Source organism: Homo sapiens, chromosome 22, assembly GCF_000001405.40.
Source record: "Homo sapiens chromosome 22, GRCh38.p14 Primary Assembly".
In the NCBI taxonomy this organism is placed as follows: Eukaryota; Metazoa; Chordata; class Mammalia; order Primates; family Hominidae; genus Homo; species Homo sapiens.
The window spans coordinates 33,134,344-33,156,225 of record NC_000022.11 but is presented as its reverse complement, the minus strand read 5'-3'; the positions used below and the strand labels follow the sequence as shown (position 1 = coordinate 33,156,225).

General features: G+C 39.4%; 1 protein-coding gene and 1 long non-coding RNA gene across 2 annotated transcripts in view; one reads left to right on the top strand and one right to left on the bottom strand.

Annotated features, from left to right (window-relative positions):
- LARGE1 (LARGE xylosyl- and glucuronyltransferase 1) overlaps positions 1-21,882 on the top strand; it is an 856,162-nt gene that overhangs the window by 766,599 nt on the left and 67,681 nt on the right. The window lies entirely within an intron of this gene.
- Positions 10,363-21,669, bottom strand: LOC124905107 (uncharacterized). The gene is made up of 2 exons (XR_007068072.1): positions 21,524-21,669; positions 10,363-11,025 (listed from the first exon to the last, which is right to left on the bottom strand). It is a non-coding gene; the product is annotated as an uncharacterized LOC124905107 (long non-coding RNA).

Below are 21,882 nucleotides of genomic sequence, written 5' to 3'. Positions count from 1 at the left end.
TGCTGGGCCCTCTTCTCACAGCTCCACTAGGCAGTGCCCCAATAGGGACTCTGTGTGGGGACTCTGACCCTCATGTCCCTTCCACACTGCCCTAGCAGAGGTTCTCCATGAGGACCCCACCCCTGCAGCAAACTTCTGCCTGGGCATCCAGACGTTTCCATACATCCTCTGAAATCTAGGCAGAGGTTCCCAAACTTCATTTTTTGACTTCTGTGCACCCACAGGCTCAACACTACATGGAAGATGCAAGGCTTGGTTGGGGCTTCCACCCTCTGAAGCAACAGCCCGAGCTGTACCTTGGCCCCTTTTAGTCACAGCTGGAGTGGCTGGGATGCAAGGCACCAAGTTCCTAGACAGCACACAGCAAAGGGACCCTGGGCCTGGCACATGAAACCATTTTTCCCTCCTAAACCTTTGGCCCTTGATGGGAGGGTCTGCCTCAAAAGTCTCTGACATGCCCTGGAGACATTTTCTCCTTTGTCTTGGTGATTAACATTTGGCTTCTCATTACTTATGCAAATTTCTGCAGCCTCCTTGAATTTCTCCTCAGAAAATGGGTTTTTATTTTCTATCGCATTGTCAGGTTGAAAATTTTCCAAACTTTTATGCTCTGTTTCCCTTTTAAAACGGAATGCCTTTAACAGCAACCAAGTCACCTCTTGAATGCCTTGATGCTTAGAAATTTCTTCCACCAGAAACCCTAGATCATCTCTCTCAAGTTCAAAGTTCCACAGATCTCTAGGAAAGGGGCAAAATGCCACCAGTCTCTGTGCTAAAATGTAACAAGAGTCATTTTTGCTCCAATTCCCAACAAGTTCCTCATCTCCATCTGAGACCACCTCAGCCTGGATTTCATTGTCCATATCATTATCAGCATTTTGGTCAAGCCATTTACCAAGTCTCTAGGGAGTTCCAGACTTTCCCACATTTTCCTCTCTTCTTCTGAGCCCTCCAAAGTGTTCCAACCTCTACCTGTTAAAATGTAACAGGTACCTCTACCTGTAAAAATGTTCCAAAGTCCACATTTTTGGGTATCTTTTCAGCAGCACCCCACTCTTGGTACTAATTTACTGTATTAGTCCATTTTCTGATACAGTAAATTGGTACCACTGCTGACAAAGACATACCTAGACTGGGCCATTTACAAAAGAAAGAGGTTTATTGGACTTACAGTTCCACGTGGCTGGGGAGGCCTCACAATCATGGTGGAAGGTGAAAGGCACATCTCACATGGCAGCAGACAAAAGAAGAAGCTTGTGCAGGGAAACTCCCATTTTTAAAACCATCGGATCTCATGAGACGTATTCACCATCACAAGAACAGCATGGGAAAGACCTGCCACCATGATTCAATTACCTCCCACTGGGTTCCTCCCATGACACATGGGAACTGTGGCAGTTACAATTCAAGATGAGATTTTGGTGGAGACACAGCCAAACCATATCAAATCTGTATCTTACATATATGTCTATCTATGAGGCCTAGTCTTATCCATCTTTATAAATAAATATTTTCCATTTAACCCAAGAAAAAAAAAGACTAACTTATTATGATTCTTAAATAGAAGAAGGAAAGGAAGAAAGAGTGATGAGGAATTATAGAAGTGAAAAAGATAATGGATCTCAGAGAAAGCGTAGTCACAGAAGAAAATATAAGGTTGTTTCTGCCTGTATTAAACATAAACCTGGCTGGGCGCAGTGGCTCACACCTGTAATCCTAACACTTTAGGAGGCTGCAGCAAGTAGATCACCTTAGGTCAGGAGTTCGAGACCAGCCTGGCCAATATTGTGAAACCCTATGTCTACAAAAATACAAAAATTAGCCAGGCATGATGGCAGGCACCTGTAATCTCAGGTACTTGGGAGGCTGAGGCAGGAGAATCGCCTGAACCTGGAAGGTAAAGGTTTCAGTGAGCTGAGTTCATGCCACTGCACTCCAACCTGGGCAACAGAGTGAGACTCTGTCTCAAAAACAATAACAACAACAAAACAAAAACAAAAATGTAAACCTGACTTCAGTAGCTTAATAAAAGAGGAGTTTACTTTTTTTTTTTTTTCCATATAACAAGAAGTCCAAAGTCTGGCCATTAGAGATTAGCTAGCATTGGATTTAACCTTCTGTCATAAACAATTATAACAGATAAACAAAATACATTAAGCAACATTTTGTAGGCACTGGGTAGCAACCAATAGAGGAATATGACCTTGGCAGAAGAGGATAAGAAGTGAACCCCACATTGGTCCCAGATTTCTGCTTATGAGAATTTCCTAAACAACATCCTGGTGTAATACAACCAAACTTAGAGAATGATGGTTTCACTGGTTTTTTGAAACAGAGATTAAAATTTGGGACCGCCAGTCCCCTGGGATTTGAAGGGCAAGTATCAAAGAGTAGGAAGTCACAGAGAGAGAAACCCAAATATCTGCAAATATTCACCTGAAGTTCCTAATTCACTTATAAACTATGCAAATAAAGCTCAAGGATATAGTGGGCTACAGAGAATTGTTGGTAAGATAATGCAAACTAAAGAGAAATTTCAGGAATCACAGAGTGTTAAGTAAATGTGTCTGAGAAAATGGAGAGACCTTAATTTAAGTTGCAGAAAGACACTCCCCACACCCCACCATGAGTAAGTACTATGCTGCAGGTAGAAAAGATATTCCATGAAGACGGGAAATTTCAACTCACCCACAACAAACCTTAAGAAAGGTTTGAAATGATGGATACAATTCATTGATAATTTAACTACTGTCCAAACAAATATAAACTCTTCAGAAATATAATCCATATCACTCACAGCCTGTCACCTACAATATTGAACATACAGTAAAAAGATGAACAGATATTCAAAGAAACAGGAAAAAGTTATTGATAATCAAGAAATAAAAAGTCAGTGAAAGCTTGGTGCTGTGGCACGTGTCTGTAATTTCAGCTATTCAGGAGCCTGAGGTGGGAGGATCACTTGAGCCCAGGAGTTTAAGTGCAGCCTGGGCAACATAATGAAACTTCATGCCTAAAAAAATTTAAATAAAACATAAAATAAAAAATAAATGAAAAAATTTAAAAGTCAATGAAGATAGACCAAGAGATGATCCAGAGTTTAAGGTAGCAGACAAGGAATTCCAATTAATTGTGATAAATACGGAAAATAAAATAGGAAAACTGCTGGACAAAGTTGATGAAATTGAAATATTTGAACAGAGAATTATAATCAGAGTAAAAACCAAGCTGATAATCTAGCACTGGAAAATAAAAGACTCTTAGAATATAGCAAAGTAAACACAGCAGAAGACAAACTAGTGGACTTACCATCAGGAAAATGGAAAACAACTAAATTGAAGCAGAGATAAAAAATAATAACAAAATAAAAAACAACAAAATAGAGCACAAACTATATGCGGGACATAATCTAAAGAACTAACATATGTGTAATATGAAAGCCATATTTATATGGTGAAAATAAAGTGACAAATTCAAAGTACTGCAAAATAAAAAGAAACCAGATCCTTTGATAACCAAGAAATTATTAAATTTTCTATGCTGCGATTATCATGCATTGCACATGTATACCAAAATATCTCATGTACCCCATAAATATATACACCTATTATGTAGCCACAAAAATTTAAAATTTAACCATTAAAAAATTTAAATATAATAAAAATAAAAAATCCAAAAAATGTTATACTCAGTAAAAATAGGTGAGAAGTCAACTTATGATTAGAACTGAAAAGACCTCTCAGCTGGTGTGATCCAATGTGAGCTAGCGTTTTGGGAACAGTGGGAATCTTATGGCCAGCACAATGCTCGGGCCAGTAGGCACTCTTTTCCCACATGTCATGAGGCAAGGAGTGGAAACATTCTTTGAAGCACTGCCTGTGCCAGAGAAGAGGTGCAGTTTTGGTCAGCACCAGCCAGCACCAGCCAGCATGCCACTGGGCTCAATCAAAATGTCACTGTAGCTGATGGAGAATTCTCAGCTGATGTAGACAATAGTGGGCTGGTATGTTCCTAAAGGAAAGCTTGCTCTTCAGGCAAGGATTGGCATTGAAAGGGAAATTATGAGGCCTGGAGAGACATGAGCTGGCAGAGCTAGGAATGCGTAAATGCCTACAGGGTCATTAAATAAATTGAAGTTAGAAATCTTCCAAAAAGAGAATTCTCCAGGCCAAGATGATTGCACTGGCAACTTTTATCAAACATTTGAAGAAAAAATAAACACAATTCTATACAATCACTTCCAGAAAATAGATAAGGGAACACTTCACAACTTGTTTTTTTTTTTTGAGGCCAACATTGCCCAATACTAAAATCAGACAAAGATAATGCAAAGGAAGAAAACTACAAACCAATATTCCTCATGAACTAGATGCAAATATCCATAATACAATATTAGCAAAAGAAATTCAACAATATATAAACAGAATAATATACCACAACCAAGCAGATTTTATTGCAAGAATGCAAGGCTGTTTCAGTGTGCAAAAATCAATCATATTAGCAGATTAAAGAAGAAAAGTCTCATAGTTGTCTCAATGAATGGACAAAGCCATTCAAAAAAATTCAGCTCCTGCTCACAATAAAACCTCTCATCAAACTAAGAATAGCTTGAACTTCCTCAATCTGATAGAGTATCAACAACAACAAAAAGACAATAGCTAGTATCATACCATTAACAGTGAAAGACTGAATTCCATTTTGTTAAGAGCAGGAAAAAGGTAAGGATGTCTTTCACTGCTATTTGACATAGCACTAGAAACCAATGGAATAAAGAAATTAAAAGAAATACAAGACATCCAACTGAGAATAAACGAAATAAAATTGTTCCTATTTGCAGATGGCATAATTGTCTATATTAAAATTTCAAGGGATTTACAAAGGAAACTCTTAGTACTCAGTGAGTTAGGCAAGGTCACAGGATACAAGGTCAACACACACACACAAATGAATCATATTTTTATATACTATCAGTGAACAATTGGAAATATAAATTTAAAAAACAATACTATAAATTATAGCTCTAAAAATTGAATTCTTACATAAACGTCTAATGAAACCTATAGAGGAAATGTATGCTAAAAACTACATAATGCTCCTCTTCAAAGAAATCAAAGAGGACCAAAATAAATGGAGAAGCATACTGTGCCTAATGTTTGGGAAGACTAAGCATAGTAAAGATATCAATTGTCCTGAAATATCTACAGGTTTAATGCACCGCCTCTCAAAACCCCTAGCAGATTTTTTTCTGAGATACAGATAAGCTGATTCGGAAATTTATATTGAAAAGAAAAAGAACTAGACTAGGGAAAACAATTTTGACTAAAAAAAATAAAGCGGATGAATCACACTACAGGATTTATAAACTTACTATATAGCTATAGTAATCAAGACAGGATGGTATGACAAAGAGATATGCTCACACATCAATAAAATAGAACAGAGGGTCCACACATAAGCCCATACAAGTACAAAAGCAAATTTATTTTTGCCAACAAGCAAACACAATTTAGTAGAGAAATAATGGTCTTTTACAAAAATGATGTTGGAATAACTGGATCTCCATAGGCAAAAATTGAACCTTAACCTAAGTCTCACACTTTATACAGAAACTAAAAATGAATGATAGATCTTGAGGTAAACAGAATGGCCTCCTAATGATGACCATGTCTTAATCTCTGGAATTTGGGAATACGTAATTTTAACTTTGTAGAAGGGATTAAATGTATGGACCTTATACTGGGGAGATTATCCTGAATTTTCAGGATGGGCCCAATCTAATCACATTGTTACTGAAATGCCAGGGATTCAGTATAGGTCCTGCTGCTTGCCCACAGAGAGCCAACCACTGAGACAATGAGGATTGCCAGGGAAGAAGCCTTTAATCGGGGGCTTGCAGCTGAGGAGATGGGAGATCAGTCTCAAATTCATCTCTCCTACTGACTAAAATGAGGGGTTTATTTAGCAGGGAAGAAATATAACTATGTGTGGGAAAACAGGAACTAAGGGGTGATAAGGAAGCAATCACGATGAACAAGAGGCCTGGTGTCTCATTGTCTGGATGTGGTGATCTGGTGAGTTTCAGTTCTTTGATACTTTTTGAGAGGCTTGGGGGTTCTTTCCTGAGGAAGAAACTCAGATAAAACAAATTTAAGTTTTAAGCTTTAAGACCAGAAGGGTCCATTTCTACTTTTATTTTTAAAAACCTGTCTATGGGACTTTTGGGTTAGTTTTAACATGAGACCTTAAAGCAGAGAACTTTTTCCAACTTAGGTGACAGACAAGTGATAAAAAATAATTACGTAGAAGGAAGCCAGAGCAGAATAGAAATTCAGACAGATCCTAAGCATAAGAAAGATTCAATGATGCATTGCTGGCTCTGAAATGCAAAGACTGGAAAGAAGCCTCTGGAAGCTAAGATTGGCCTCTGACTGTCAGCAAGCCAAGAAATAGAGACCTCAGTCCAACAAGCATAAGGAGCTGAATTTTGCCAAAAACGTGAATTACTCCAGAAGTGCAATCTTCTGGAAACTCCCAATAAGAGCCCAGCCAGCTGACACCTTGATTTCAGCTTTATGAAAGAGTAAAGTAACTAATTAAACTCATCAGGACTTTTGACCTACAGAACTGAAAAAATAAATTGATAGTTTTCATCAGCTAAGTTTGTGGCAATTTGTTATGGCAGCAATAGGAAACAAACACACATCTAAATGTAAAACTACAAAACTTTCAGAAAAATATTTAGGAGAAAACCTTTATGACCTAGGTTTAGGCAAGAGTTCTTGCACAAAACACCAAAGCATGATTCATGAAAGAAAAAAGACCAATATGGTGGGCCTTATTAAATCTAAAACTTTTACTCCATGAAAGACACTGTTAAGAAAACAGGCCAGGTGCGGTGGCTCACGGCTGTAATCCCAGCACTTTGAGAGGCCAAGGCGGGCGGATCACGAGGTCAGGAGATCGAGACCATCCTGGCTAACACAGTGAAACCCCGTCTCTACTAAAAAATATTAAAAAAATAATTAGCCGGGCATGGTGACGGGCGCCTGTAGTCCCAGCTACTCGGGAGGCTGAGGCAGGAGAATGGAGTGAACCAGGAGGCGGAGATTGCAGTGAGCCGAGATCGCGCCACTGCACTGCAGCCTGGGCAACAGAGCGAGACTCTGTCTCAAAAAAAAAAAAAAAGAAAAAAAGAAAACAAAAATGAAGCCATAAACCAGGAAAAAATATGTCTGAATCAAATATCTGAAAAAGCACTTACATTGTAAATATATTTTTTAAATCACTCTCCAAATTTAGTAAGATACCAAACAATCTCATTAGAAAATGGGCAAAACCTGGACAGACATTGCACCAAAGAGGATACATAAATAGTAAATTAACACAAAAAAATTTAATATTTTTAGCCAGTAGGGAAATGCAAACTAAAGCCACAATGAGATATTACACACCTACCAGAATAGCTAAAATAATAAACTAACATAACTGATATCAAGGATGGAGAGCAACTGGAACTCTCAAATATTGCTGATGGGAAGTAAAATAATACAGCCAATTTTGAAAAAAAGCTTGGCAAAATTTACATATGAATTTTATACTGTATATATACATTTTATATGACTCAACCATCTTGCTCCTGGGAATCCTAGCAAAAGAAAAATTTATGTTCAAACAAAACTTGCGCATGAATATTCATAGGAGTTTTATTTGTTATAGCCCCAAACTTGAAACAACACAAATGGTCTTCAGTGAGGGAATGGATAAACAAACTGTGGCATATTCATGCAATGGCCTACTATTGAGCAACAAAAAAGAAAAAATATTGATGAACACAACTTGGATGGATCTCAAGTTCATGGTGTTGTGTGAAAAATCCAATAGTAATAGATCACATATTGTAGTATTCCATTTATAATACAGTCTCAAAGTTAAAAACTATAGTGATGGCATCTTAGTCTATTTTCTGTTGCTATAACAGGTTACACAGACTGGGTAATTTATAGAGAACAGAAGTTTATTTGGCTCCAGGCTCTGAAGTCTGGAAAGTCCAAGAACATGGCATTGACATCTGTAGAGGGTCATTCCACAGCAGAAGACATCACATGGCATGTGGGTGTCAGAAAGAGGAAACAGGCCCAAACTCATCCCTTGAAGAGGAGCCCACTTCCATGGTAACTAACCCACTCCCATGATAACAGAATTAATTTATGCATGAGGACAGAGCCCTCATTTACCTCTTAAAGGATTACTTCTTAATACTGTTACAATGGCAAGTAAATTTCAACATGAATTTTGGTAGGGACATTTAAACCATAGCAGATGGGGAACAGATCAGTGGTTGATGGAATAGATTTGCTTTGTTACTTTATAGGGTAGGATGATGATGTTTCTCTGGGGTAATTAAACAGTAATTAAATTATCCTAATTGTAGTGGAAGTTATATGAATTTATAAATGTGAAGGAATTTCATAGAACTATTTACCCAAAAAAAGCGTATGCAAAAACTGCCGAAAACCAAATAAGGTCTGTTTATATAGACAGTCAATACTAAGTTGAATTAGTATTCTTTCAATATCAGTTTTCTGGTTTTGATAATTGGATCACATATATGTAAAAAGCTATAATCGCGAGACCTAGGTGAGGTTACATGGAAAATCTCTAAATTGTTTTGCAGCTCTTATGTGAGTCCAAAATTATTTCAAATACAATGTTTAAAACATTTTAACATTATTGCTTATCTGGAGAAAATAAACTAAAACGTAATTATACTCTATAAACTCACCAAAATGGTTAAAATTTAAAACTCAATAATATAAAGTCTTTGTGAGGATGAGGCCCAACTAGATCACTCATATATTCTTGTTGGTGGTATAAATTGGTTCTATTACTTTGAAAAATCTGTGTCTATTTTACTAATTTTTAAACATACATCTACTCAAAGATCCTCAAATTTCACTCAGATGTATGTACCTCAAAGAAATGAGAGTTTGTGTTACAAAAGGCATAATCAATAATGTATATAACTGCTTTATTTATAATAGCCCATCCCTGGAAGCCATTCAAATGTCCATCAACAGAAGAGTGGACAAACAAATGGTGGTATAGTCATACAATTAAATGGTATACATCTCCATACAATGAAATACTACACTACTGTCACACACAACAGTGTGGGTGAATTTCACTGACATTATGAAGAGTGAAAAAATACTGGACACAAAAGATTTTATATTTCATGATATTATTGATATGAGGCTCAAGAGTAGGCAAAGATAACTGACAATGCTGAAGGTCAGACTAATGGGTTGAACATTACAGACACGGCTGTAGACTGGAAGGACACAGGGGACATTTCTGGGGTGATAGAAATGTTTTATACATTGACTTGGATGGTGGGTCCATGCTTGTATGTGTAAGTAAAAATTCCATGCACTCTTTAGATTTTTGCATTTTAATGTATTTAATTTACAGTTCAATTAAAAAAAAACCTGCTAAGATTTTTTTTCCCCAAAGTCTAGTCCTAAGTAGTATAAAGTTGACAAGAGGCTCAGGGAAGTCTGCAAGGATTGGGGGCACTTCTCTTCTGCTCCACCATGGAATATGTGGCTTTGGTTTGCTGCCTGCAAGATGATTGTTGCAGCCACCAGAACCACATTCTGCAAAGGAAGAAATGGAGAGAGTAAAGCGTAGAGGCCAAAGCCTGAAGACATAAGCCAACTGAGTCTTTCCCCTTTTAAATATGAACCCTGAAAGCACTACTAACTTACACGTCATTGGAAAGGATGGTGCTTTTTATGGCCACCCTGAATGTAATAGAGACTAATCATATTAGGTATCTTAACTGGGCTCATTGAGCCAACTTGAACAAATTAGCTAGAATAGAAATTAGGTAGAAGAAAGGGAGAATGGGTTTTGGGTAAGTAGCTAACAGTCTGAAGTAAATTAAGAGTCTAAAATCTATGAAGCCTTAGAAATTCTCTCACTTCTATCTTTGACCTTCTGTCTCCAGGTACCACCACCCATGCAATTGTGCTTTAAGGAAATCCTCTGGTGGGAAGCATTTTCATTAGGTCCTTTAAGTAACTTGTATTTGTCCCAAGGATATTTACTTTTATATCCATATACTTAATTCTCAAAACAGGTTTAGGAATTTGAGCAAGATTTTTGTCCCTTAGAGACGTGGGAAAAAGTGCTTAATAAAGGAGTTGAATGGGAGTTTTCATGGTGTATTCAATAGTAAACTGGCTGGGTAGCTTCCTCTCTCTCCCTGTTTTATTGTGAGGTTTTTGTTTGATTTTCCCCATACTTTTGCCACCCAGGATGTTGAATTTTGAGAATGACAAATAAGAAACTGTCAACAAATTGATGAGTTGTTGGTCTTTATTGGTTTCAGTCATTGCTAATATATTCATTTTGTTCAAACTTAGCCATTGCCAATTTGGTGAGCTATTCACCATTGAATGATACTAGAGGGAATACTTGGGCTGAGAGCAGTAGAAAGCATCCTTTCTTAAGTGCAGAGGTACTTGAGGAAAAGGCCCATGCTGTTAGTTCCAGCCTTCTGAATTTCCACTGAGCAAATACCCATAGAATACAGTTAGATAAGTTCCTTTTTCAGACTCCGCTTTGTCCAGCTTAGACTGTGGCCACATCATATCCCATTTCTCAGCTGTGTGATGGAACTTCCTGAAACTTGCTCATGGCTGTCCTTGGTCTCCTTGTTTGTCCCTGACCTGGATACCATTCCTCATGAGACCCACCTTGACAGCATTCTGAAACAGTGCAATGTCAGAACCAAAGTGGTATACACGAGGGTGGTGCAGGAGAATGAAGAACACACTCCAGTGGCCAGGTCAGAATGATTCTGATGGTTGTACAGAGCTTCCTGGAAGACAGTGGACTGGGATGGTCCTGGTAATGGCCCATTGAGCTTTACACAGCAGGCACATGGTGGTAGGGGTGGGCATATCTCAATATCTCCAGGTAACTCAGGTGATCCTCTTCATGCTGGTATACCTTGGGCTCCTAGATTTCAAAAGAAACATAAAATAGAATCATATGTTTTTGTATTTCATAGTACATGGACATCTCCCTCCTTCCTGCCCTTCCTCCCATGTCAACTACTTTCTCCTCCCCCGTCAGGGCCCAAATTAAGCATTGCTACTTCCAAGAAGCCTCTCCTTTCTACTCCAGACTTGGAAAAGTTTTATTTTATTGGGCACAACAAAATCCAAGAAAGCCATTCTGCTTGAATACATTCTGCTTGAAAACTATTCTGCTTTCTCAAACACATGCCAACTGTAGAGGTTGTTTCTTGGGGACTTGCAGCCTCCTGCCATCTGTTTAGCAATTATATTTAAATAATCAGTTTGAGTAATCATGTCCTTATGATGATTGAGCATTTGCTTTGCCCATTTCCTATTCTATGTCTTATTGCTACTGCTCTATCTCTACATGCTTGGAACATAAAAGATGTATGATGAATACTTCTTGGGTGGTGAATGAATTAATACCAAACACTGAATTAGCCAGCTACTCTTTTCCACCACCTTTGGCATTTTTATTTAGTTATGTGGCTTTCATTTCACTCTGAGATGTCAAGCCAATAACAGTATGGTTGCATCATTCTCACTTCTATGAATGCACTTCTTATATTAAACCCTTTGCAGCACTATTAGATTCTTGACAGCACTGAATCTGTTATTTGCCTCCAATAATCAACCTCAACATATATGCAACAACTATATATGTGTGTATATATATATATATATAACTCAATATATGCAACAACTATAGAATCAATAATTCTGTAGTTGTCAATATATGCAACAACTATAGAATTAATTCTATGCAACAACTATAGAATTATTAATCTTATGATTAAAAACTATAAAATTTTGTCTTGGGAAACACAATTAACTTCAACATGATCAATTACACCTTGAAAGTAGAGTGTTCTAAGTGGTATTAGTCAGTAACCATAACTTTTAGAACATGCCTTCAAATTGAAACAAGCCATCAATCACTTTTTTGGGCATGAAATCAGGCCCTAATTTCAACTCAAGTGATACTCTTTTAAAATCGAAGTGAAGTTATAAAAGAAAAGTTGAAAGATAATAAACAGTATATTGAAACAGACATAGGACAAGAGAGATAGTAAATAGAAAACAGAATCAAAGAAAATAAAGAGTAAACATACGGATAGTCAAACAAAATACATCTGGGAATTAAATCAAGATAAAGAAAGGCAGAAACAGAAACAGATACCAAGAAGAGTTAAGACATTAAGAAAATTTTAACATATAGAGCAATGTAGTATGTTATTGGTTTACTATGACTATGAGCATCTTCATTTTAAATTTTAAGATTTAATTGAAAGTCAGTATAATGGATTTTGTTATTCATACTCTTGTTTATGTACTAATGATCCTGATTTAATGTGAATGATTTGATATTAATTCTATATGGAAGGCAAGAGTCTTGGTCGCTAGATTTGGCTTCTACTCTTTCTAATCTCTTCTATTTGCAATATCCAATTGGCAAGGTTGAGCAGGTGTCTTTCTTTTTGGCCAGAATTATGGGTAATTGTCTTCCAGAGTTGTTCTAATGAAAAAAAAATCACATGCAGGGAAAAGAAAGTGCTTTAGAAAGTGCTCTGTACTCATGCAATGGGTTAATTTTATTATGATAGATACTAATAAGAAAACTTACCTGCAACGCTCATGGAAAGAGCTTTTCCTCTCTCTCTGGGCATTGAAGCTCTTTTGGTGACCATCTTCTTACCTGTCCTATTACTGATATATCTGCTTGATTTTTGAAACATTGTGATGAATGGTTTAATACATTGATTTCTTTCAATATTTGATTTTTTGGTCTCATGAGGCTGAAGTTGGGGTTATTTTTTTAACCAGAATAGCTAAATCTCAAATATATTAAGGAAAGTTGACCCATTGACATTCAAACTGAAACACTTATGTTCACCAACCTTTGATAGCCAGCCACCTCCAATTTTCATAGTCAAGCCTGGGCCTCTTATGCCAATCAACTTTGTTTTGGCTCTTCCCTTTCTCTTGGTCATTTCATCAGTATCACCTTGTGAACCCATCTCTGACTATTCCAGAGACATGAGAGAAGGAATATGTCTCATTTCCTGTCATCTAAATCCATAATTTCATAGGCTGAAAAAATGATGCCAGGTAGAGGAAGTGGCTTAGTTGTTCAAATCAGGGTTAAATGTAGGACACTACAGATTTTCCTCCTAATTTAGAGCCCAAACATTTTCCTCGAATGTCTCTCTCTCTCCCTTGCTCTCCATATGTTCTGATAACTTTCTGCTTTGCTATAATAATCCTTCTACTGACATCCTCACATGTGCCAGCCAGGCTCTGTGCTTGCCAAGGTAAACCCAAGTTAATCAAAATTGAATTAATTGAGGGTGAGCCTTTGAAAATCGTTGAGTGATGAGCTTGGCAATCCTCTCAAAAGTCAATAATAAAACTGGGCAAAATAGCCAAAAACAAACATTAAAAACTTTGGAAAATGACCAATGCATACCAAAAACTGAGTATTTATTCAAAACTGTCCACTGAATCTCAGGAAGGACAGCCTGTGGTTTCTTCCTTGGGGTTACTCTTATTTAACTCCCAGCTCTGGAGTGTAGAAGTTCTATCAGTGTGTGGCAGGCAGAGAGGACTGGCAGCAGAGGTTACTGACTTTATTTTCAGCAGTAAGAGGGAAATATGCCCAAGGGCACTGCCAAAAACAACAGTGTTTTAAGGAGCAAATGATCAGGGAAGGCCAATGTCACAGCTAGTCTGAGCTCTTCATACTAGCTGGAGCAAGCAATAGACCCACGAGAAATTTAACAAGGGGTTTGGGGGAATGCGAGAGCCAACAAGGGTTTTGATAAGATCATATTTATCCATTGTGGTCTGGAAGGTTGTTCACATGCACAGGCTTCTTTCAAGCTCAGGAAAAGACCAGAAGGAGCAGCACAAAGCCAATTGTCCCTGGCTAACTAGGAAGGCTGCAAACACAGAAAGTAAAGGCAGACAGAGCTGAACATTGCCTGATCTTTGTTTAAGCACAAGCTCTGATCAATCATTGGCTGACCACTAACCTATCCTGACCCTGTGACAATCCCAGAAAGCCAGGCTTAGGGTATAAAAAAAAGTCTTGTTTTGTTTTGTTTTGTTGTTAAGTAAGCAGTAATTTTGAGCTGTAAGAGACATCAATGGCAGCAGAGTATGGAATAAATTGGTGACATCTGAATCCAAAATTGTTACAATCTACTAGTAATGATATTCAAATATAAAAAATGTAGAATATGTAAAGAAACAGGAAAGTGTGACCCTTTTGCAGGGAGTAAAAGTAGTCAGTAGAAATAGTCTTTAAAGAGGCCCAGGTATTAGATTTAGCAGACAAAACTTGAAACAGCTATTAGAAATATGTTCAAGAAACTAATCTTACATATACCAAAAGCATACCTGGTGCCTTCACAATTCACTTCATATTGTATGTAGAGTGGGTGCTTGTCTTAAATGGCTTGGAACAACCTCAGTTTATGTACATCATGCCAATACCATTTCATATTGTATTGGGAGCATTATAACTACTGTCCCTTTTACTCTAAAAATTGTCCTTTGGATGAGAAAATTATATCCATACATATAAGTATAATATAGATATAAATTATATGTATTTTATACGTATATAACTGTAACTATAAAAAGGCAAGAAATATTTAAAAACAAAAAAATTATTTTGCCATAAATTTTGAGTGCTTCATGAATGCAGCAGATAAAATGTAGGTCATATACTTCGTCTTCATATTTTCCATATTTTTCTTCAAACACTAACACTTCTCAGTGATATGTAACTTCTACAAGTTCTACAAGGAACATTGAAGTTTGTCAAACCCTTCATATGCATCTTTAAGGCCAGTTTTTAGAGCTATTCTTTTTTGTCATATAAGGAAGATAGATTATGTGAATTTCAAAGTGGTGTGTGTGTGTGTGTGTGTGTGTGTGTGAGAGAGAGAGAGAGAGAGAGAGAGATTCTGAGAATAACTTGACCCCTTTCAGAGTGTAAATAATTTTTTCCATAGATTTCAGTAGATATTATGTTCTACTTGTTAATATTTGTGGGCAAAGACGATCTCCAGGATGGCGGCATGAAGAGCTTTAATGACTCCTTCACCAGCAACCATAATTGTTAAAAATATTTTCTTTTTAATGTAAAGTATCTTTAAATTGTCCTAAGGGCATGTAGTAAGTAAAGAAATATTTTTTTCAAGAAAATCTTCTGTATCTCTAGAGGGACAGGACTAATAGGGTAGATGTATATATGAAAGGGAGTTTATTAAGGAATATTGACTCATACAATCACAAGGTGAAGTCCCACAATAGGCCGTCTGCAAGCTGAGGAGCAAGGAAGCCAGTCTGAGTCCCAAAACCTCAAAAGTAGGGAAGCCAATAGTACAGCCTTCAGTCTGTGGCTGAAGGCCTGAGAGCCCCTGGCAAACCACTGGTGTAAGTCCAAGAGTCCAAAAGCTGAAGAACTTGGAGTCTGATGTTCGAGAGCAGGAAGCATCCAGCATGGGAGAGAGATGAAAGCCAGAAGACTCAGCAATTCAAATCCCTTCAACTTCTTCCTGCTGTATTCTAGCCATGCTGGCAGCTGATTAGAGGACACCAGATTGAGGGTAGGTCTGCCTCTCCCAGTCCACTGACTCAAATGTTTATCTCCTTTGGCAACACCCTCACAGATACACACAGGAACAATACTTTGTATCCTTCGATCAAGTTGACACTCAATATTAACCATCACATCTACTAAATCTCAGTAAGAACAAGAGACTGTAGCACTTGAGCTACAATTCATCCCCTTTTCTCCCCACTGCACCCACTGTTCTGTATGATGGAGCACTGCTCTGGGTGGGTAGAGCCACTTAGACTGGTCTTTCTTCCCCCAGCTCCCAGTTGAGGACCACAGCATCTTCCCAGAAGGGGGAGGCTGCCAGCATTTCCCACCACCTGCAACCCCCTCCCAGATCCATGTTCCAGAGGCTGAATTCCAGGAGAGGGCAGCCCAGAGTTCTTCCACCAAGCCCTTACTCATAGGAAGCTCTATCCCAGACACAGCAGGCTGAGAATAATGGGGCTCTAACCTCTCCCACCCAACTCATTCATAGGGCAGAGGTTCCATTACTGGAGAAGCAAGCCAAGGAGACCAGAGGCAGCCCTCCAGCCCAGTTTCCTGATCATAAAGCAAGAGTGTCACTCCAAAAGAATCAGACCACCTCTGCACCCACTAGCTCTGAAGAAATGGCCCAGAGATTATTTGCAAGTGGGGAGAGAAAGGCAATGACCACAAACAAAGGTCATTTCTTTCCCCAAAGGAGCTAACTTGCTTTGGAAAAGAGCATGGGGAAAGTCAAGCCTAAGGGTTCCCTTAAAGGCAATGTAGATTTTGGTGGTAAGCAATTAAGAAGAGGCTTGTATTTCCATGAGAATAGCAAGCTAAACCATAGGCTAGCTAGTTTACCAGATAGAGAATAGCACATAAAGAGATATAAATTATAAAATAAAAAAGAAAATGAAAGTTTTGGAGTTAAAAAGTACAGCAAAGAACTGAAATAGAAAATTTACTAGAGGGGTATAAGAGTAAATTTGAATTGTCAGAAGAAAGAATCAGCAAACTTAAAGGAAAATGAAAAGTTTTGTGATCCTAAGAAGGAAAAAAAGAATGAGGGAAAATAAACAGTCTGAGAGAAATGAAGGACCCCATTAACTGAACTGACAAATGTGTAAAGGAAGCAACAGAAGGAGAGGAAAGAGAGTAGGGAGTAGACAAATCAGCAAGAAAAAAACAAATGCTCCCATCAAAAAGTGGGCAAAGGATATGAATAGAGAATTCATATACAAATGGCCAACAAGCACATGGAAAAATGCTCAACATCACTGATTATCAGGGAAATGCAAATTAAAAGCACAATGAGATACCACCTGTATTAGTCTGTTTTCACACTGCTGATAAAGACATACCCAAGACTGGGTAATTTATAAAGGAAAAGGGTTTAATTGGACTTACAGTTCCACGTGGCTGGGGAAGCCTCACAATCACGGTGGAAGGCAAGGAGGAGCATGTCATGTCTTACATGGATGGCATCAGGCAAAGAGAGAACTTGTGCAGGGACTCTCCCATTTTTTGAAACCATCAGATCTTGTGAGACTTATTCACTATCACGAGAACAGCATGGGAAAGACCTGCCTTCATGATTCAATTACCTCCCATTGTGTCCCTCCCATGACACATGGGAATTCAAGATGAGATTTGGGTGGGGACACAGCCAAATCATATCATTCCACCCCTGGCCCCTCCCAAACTTCATGTCCTCACGTTTCAAAACCAATTCATGCCTTCCAAACCATCCCCCAAAGTCTCAACTCATTTCAGCATTAACTCAAAAGTCCACAGTCCTGGCCAGGTGTGGTGGCTCGTGCCTGCAATCCCAGCAGTTTCGGAGGCCGAGGTGGGCAGATCACCTGAGGTCAGGAGTTTGAGACCAGCCTGGCCAACATGGTGAAACCCTGTCTCTACTAAAAATACAAATAATAGCCAGGCGTGGTGGCACATGCCTGTAATCTCAGCTACTTGGGAGGCTGAGGCAGGAGGATCACTTGAACCTAGCAGGTGGAGGTTGCAGTGAGCTGAGATTGCCCCACTGCCCTCCAGCCTGGATGACAGAGTGAGACTCTGTCTCAAAAAAAAAAATGAAAAAATAAAAGTCCTCAGTCCAAAGTCTCATCCGAGACAAGGCAAGTCCCTTATGCCTATCAGCCTGTAAAATCAAAAGCAAGTTAGTTACTTCCTACATACAATGGAGGTACAGGCATTGGGTAAATACGGCAGTTCCAAATGGAAAAAATTGGCCAAAACAAAGGGGTACGGGCCCCATATAAGTCCGAAATCCAGTGGGGCAGTCAAATCTTAAAGCTCCAAAATGATCTCTTTTGACTCCATGTCTCACGTCCAGGTCATGACAATGCAAGAGGTAGATTCCCACGGTCTTGGTCAGCTCTGCCACTACGGTTTTGTAGGGTACAGACTCCATCCCTGCTGCTTTCACAGGCTGGCACTGAGTGTCTGTGGATTTTTCAGGCACATGCTGCAAGCTGTCAGTGGATCTACCCTTCTGGAGTCTGGAGGATGGTGGACTTCTTCTCACAGCTCTACTAGATGGAGCCCCACTGGGGACTCTGTGTGGGGGCTCCCACCCAACATTTCCCTTTTGTACTACCCTTGCAGAGGTTCTCCATGAGGACCCCACCCCTACAGCAAACTTCTGCCTGGGCATCCAGGGGTTTCCATATATCTTCTGAAATCTGATTGGAGGTTCCCAAACCTCAATTCTTGACTTCTTTGCACCCACAGGCTCAACACCACTTGGAAGCTGCCAAGGCTTGGGGCTTGCACCCTCTGAAGCCACAGCTGAATTAACTGGGACACAGGGCACCAAGTCTCTAGGCTGCACACAGCACAGGGACCCTGGGCCTGTCCCACAAAACCATTTTCTCCTAGGCCTCCAGGCCAGTGATTTGATGGACTGCTGTGAAGACCTCTGACATGTCCAGGAGATATTTTCCCCATTGTCTTGAGGATTAACATTCAGCTCCTCATTACATATGCAAATTTCTGCAGCCAGCTTGAATTTCCCCTCAGAAAATGGGTTTTTCTTTTTTATCACATTGTCAGGGTGCAAATTTTCTGAACTCTTATGCTCTGCCTCCCTTATGAAACTGAATGCCTTTAACAGCACCCAAGTCACCTCTTGAATGCTTTGCTGCTTAGAAATTTCTTCCTTATTAGCCAAAATTTGCTTCCTCATTAGCCAAATATTCACCTTGCAATGATGCAGCTCAACATCAAAGCTGGAGTAGTAATTCCCAGGCACCCTGCAAGCAAAGACTCCCATGGCCTCCTTTAAATCCCTCTGGGCATTGTACAGGACCCCTGTGAAGATGATGGGCTTGAAAGGAAGAGGAAGTTTTCCACTGAGCTTCACAGTAAAGGCTGACCTTTCTATATCAGGACAGGGGCATTTTGTCATTTCACTTATTTCTCCTGTATATTGTGGTAAACCTGGGGCACCAGGACATTCCAGAAAAAATGAGAAACAACCAACGAGAAGCTGACAACTCAGTGGGCACATTTAGTCATTCATTTCATGGCTATGGAACTTCACAAGCTCTCTTTGAGACATATAGATCTCCAGTTTATTTTTTTTTTTACCTTAATATTTGTGGTTCTAATATCAGCTTCAGTTTTCTCCTCCCCTAACAGAGCCCTCAAAACAACCCACCTTGGAAGGTAATACCCACTCCTTTATTTCCCACCCTGCCTTGATCCATATACTTAGCTTTCCCTGGATCACATGTCCCAAGCTTCATTATCCTTGACTTCAACCATGGCTATTTCTGGACCTAAATGGTCATGAAACTAATTGCATCTTAAGGCTTTGTATTGCCTTCCCAAGTTCCCAGGATTTATATTAAATCCCCCATGCTTGCTCAGGTGTTTCCTGTTTTGCCCTTAACATCCCAAGCAATGATTAGGGTGTCAATTCAACACTATCAATCTGTTTTAGGTTAATTGTAAAAAAAATATTGCTTTGTTGGTGATATGGTTTGGCTGTGGCCCCACCCAAATCTCATCTTGAATTGTAGCTCCCATAATTCCCACATGTTGTGGGAGGGACCTGGTGGGAATTAATAATCATGGGGGTGGTTTCTCCCATACTGTTCTCATGGTAGTGAATAAGTCTCACAAGATCTGATGGTTTTATAAGAGGAAACCCCTTTCACTTGGTTCTCATTCTCTCTTGTCTGCTGCCATGTAAGATGTGCCTTTCACCTTCTACCATAATTGTGAGGCCTCCCCAGCCATGTGGAACCGTGAGTCTGCTAAACCTCTTTTTCTTTATAAATTACCCAGTCTTGGGTATGTCTTTATCAGCAGCATGAAAACAGACTAATACAGTTGGCATAGCATCATTTTTAAGAATATGAACTTTTGGTTTATAAAGAGAGCAAACCACATTCTGTCCTTCTGTCCTATTGTCCTATTATCCAGCACCTAGTCCAATTACTTAAATTCTCTGAGTCTCTGTTTCTTTGACCACACAATAGAGGAGGAGGAAACAATCATATATTCTCATAGGACTATTATGAAACTTCAAGAAGATAGGAAAGAGACAATCCAATAAAAGTACTTACCACAGTGTCAGGGAAACAATAGTTCTAAATGAATATAAACTATTATTTTATTTCTGTTGGCTTCTCACTTTTATTTTATTTTATTTTATTTTGTTTTATTTTTATTTTTTGAGATGGAGTCTTGCTCTGTTGCCCAGGCTGGAGTGCGGTAGAGCAATTTCAGCTCACTGCAACCTCTGCCTCCCAGGTTCATGCAATTCTTCTGCCTCAGCCTCCCAAGTAGCTGGGACTACAGGCATGTGCCACCGTGCCCGGCTAATTTTTGTATTTTTAGTAGAGACAGGGTTTTGCCATGTTGGCCAGGCTGGTCTCAAACTCCTGAACTCAAGTGATCCACCCACCTCCGTCTCCCAAAGTGCTGGGATTACAGGCATGAGCCACTGTGTCCGGTCGGCTTCTCACTTTTAGATTAGGCTTTGTGCTCATGATGAAGGTTTAGAAAAATGTAGCAACAAATTTATGGAATGTTGTTTATTTTCCCCTAACTTCAATTAATCTAAAATGTATTTAATGATATTGTTTTTCCTGGAGATTTTGAATCCAAGGATCTCGGTCTTTTATCTTTGAGATAAATGAGACTGGAAGTCACCAAACCGATAGCCTCTTGAACCCAAGGCAGGACAACACCTGGATATCCAGTGACTATTCTATTAGAAGCAAGGGAAACTTTGCACAATGTGTGGACTTCCCTGAAACTCTCATCCAACCCAGCCTTACTCAGCTACAGGCAGAGGGGCATCAAGTCCCATCCACTCCTGAGCCAACCTGGAAAGGAAATGACTTCTGCAGGCCTGTTCTACAGTGGGTAGTGTCTAAGATGAATCCTTCTACTACACCCATGTGCTCACTGAGAGCCAACCCAAGGATAATCTGTTATTTGCCCAGTTAATATGGTTCAATCCTGCTCTTCTCCTGGGGCTGTTTTCCTGCTAAAGTTTTTGCTGCCTTTCTTTCCTGGCTCTAAACCAGGCAGATGACCCAGCCCCAGCACTCTTTGATCACAAGTGGTAACTGCTTCACAGCCCCTACCATAAATCTGCCTCCACCTATGAATCTGACTCTTCACATATAAAAGAAATCTGGGTCCAGGAAGTTTCATTTTTTTCCACTGGATCTATGATTCAGGCTGATGATCACTCTACAATGATCAGTTTTCCAAGATTCTGAGCCTAGGAGAAGGATGACATTCCCAAACAAAAGGAGAAAAGGAGAGGGGCATTTTAAAGCAAAAGAAATAGACTTCTTACCTGGTGCACCAGGAGGCCCCACTTCTTCTGGGGGCCTGGGGTGTGCTGGAGGTCCAGCAACTTCTACATGCTCAATGACTGCCGTTATTAAGACAGGTATGACCACTATCCTAAAACATAGAATGTGGAAATAAAAAGGAGTTCTTGGCCGGGCGCTGTGGCTCACGCCTGTAATCCCAGCACTTTGGGAGGCCGAGGCGGGCGGATCACAAGCTCAGGAGATTGATATCATCCTAGCTAACACGGTGAAATCCCGTCTCTACTAAAAATACAAAAATTAGCCAGGCGTGGTGGCGGGCGCTTGTAGTCCCAGCTACTCGGGAGGCTGAGGCAGGAGAATGGCGTGAACCCGGGAGGCG